The sequence below is a fragment of the Homo sapiens genome, chromosome X, assembly GCF_000001405.40.
Source record: "Homo sapiens chromosome X, GRCh38.p14 Primary Assembly".
Lineage (NCBI taxonomy): Eukaryota > Metazoa > Chordata > Mammalia > Primates > Hominidae > Homo > Homo sapiens.
Window position 1 is genome coordinate 51432512 of NC_000023.11, and position 1923 is coordinate 51434434.

General features: G+C 46.4%; 1 annotated feature.

Annotated features, from left to right (window-relative positions):
- Positions 810 to 1309: an enhancer, noted in NCBI's record as "H3K4me1 hESC enhancer chrX:51176173-51176672 (GRCh37/hg19 assembly coordinates)". NCBI's record gives its function as "activates a minimal SCP1, AML or CMV promoter by ChIP-STARR-seq in primed H9 embryonic stem cells {active_cell/tissue: H9 hESC(primed)}" and the evidence as "EXISTENCE:reporter gene assay evidence [ECO:0000049][PMID:30033119]".

Genomic DNA, 1923 nt, shown 5'->3' on the forward strand with positions numbered 1-1923 from the left:
AAGAGGCGCTCTGCTTTTTACAGTTTCCAGTTTTTCTGCTCTGTTTTTTCCCCATCTTTGTGGTTTTATCTACTTTGGTCTTTGATGATAGTGATGTACAGATGGGTTTTTGGTGTGGATGTCCTTTCTGTTTGTTAGTTTTCCTTCTAACAGACAGGACCCTCAGCTGCAGGTCTGTTGGAGTTTGCTAGAGGTCCACTCCAGACCCTGGTTGCCTGGGTACCAGCTTCAGTGGCTGCAGAACAGCGGATTTTCCTGAACCGCGAATGCTGCTGTCTGATCGTTCCTCTGGAAGTTTTGTCTCAGAGGAGTACCCGGCCGTGTGAGGTGTCAGTCTGCCCCTACTGGGGGTGGCTCCCAGTTAGGCTGCTCAGGGGTCAGGGGTCAGGGACACACTTGAGGAGGCAGTCTGCGCATTCTCAGATCTCCAGCTGCGTGCTGGGAGAACCACTGCTCTCTTCAAAGCTGTCAGACAGGGACATTTAAGTCTGCAGAGGTTACTGCTGTCTTTTTGTTTGTCTGTGCCCTGCCCCCAGAAGTGGAGCCTACAGAGGCAGGCAGGCCTCCTTGAGCTCTGGTGGGCTCCACCCAGTTGGAGTTTCCTGGCCGCCCTGTTTACCTAAGCAAGCCTGGGCAATGGCGGGCGCCCCTTCCCCAGCCTCGCTGCCGCCTTGCAGTTTGATCTCAGACTGCTGTGCTAGCAATCAGCGAGACTCTGTGGGCGTAGGACCCTCCGAGCCAGGTGTGGGATATAATCTCCTGGTGCGCCGTTTTTTAAGCCCGTCGGAAAAGCGCAGTATTGGGGTGGGAGTGACCTGATTTTCCAGGTGCCGTCTGTCACCCCTTTCTTTGACTAGGAAAGGGAACTCCCTGACCCCTTGCGCTTCCTGAGTGAGGCAATGCCTCGCCCTGCTTCGGCTCGCACATGGTGCGCTGCACCCACTGACCTGCGCCCACTGTCTGGCACTCCCTAGTGAGATGAACCCGGTGCCTCAGATGGAAATGCAGAAATCACCCATCCTCTGCGTCGCTCACACTGGGAGCTGTAGACTGGAGCTGTTCCTATTCGGCCATCTTGGCTCCCCCCCTCCTGCTGATTTTTCTCTCACTTCAAAATGTGTAAAGGCCGGAATATTATATACTTTCACCAGAAGTCATGGTATAGTCACAACTCAAATATTTGGGGAGATTGAAGTGATGGGCATTTGGAGGATACATTGTAGTTGTACTAGAGATGCTGTTGCCATACTGAGTGTTTTGAAAATGAAAGAGTTATTGAGACATGCTGACCTACAAAAACAGATTAATGTAGATTGAGTACTTTCCATGTGTCATGAACAATTCTAAGACAATTGCACACATTAATCCATGAATCTTAAAATGTATAATGCTGAGTTGTCAATGTTTCATAGAGGCATAGAGAGCTGAAAACAACTATCCTAACGCTGCATAACTAGTAAGTGGCAGGGACAATCCAAGTTGCCCAAGAACAGAGATCTATTTTTAAATACTGTGCTTTTCCTCTTACAACAGACAGATTTCCTATATCTAGTTTGTTCAGAAGTATGAAATAGCTTAACAATTACCAAGGCTATTAGTTTTCTCCCATTTCTCACCCTGTGTCAGGGAGAGGCTCTGTTAAGGAATCTTATGGTCACAAAATCTCATTACAAATTCAGTCATGTCATATAAAATCAATTTTTTTAAACATTTTATTTTGAAATCATTGTAGATACACATTCAGTTGTAAGAATAATCCAGAGAAATCCAGTGTACCTTTTATCCAGTTTCTTCACAATGGTATCAACGTGAAGAACTATGGTATAATATCACAACCAGTATATTGACATTGATATACTGCACTTATTTTATTACAGGTTTACTTACATTCTTATGTGTGTGTGTGTGTGTGTGTGTGTTTAG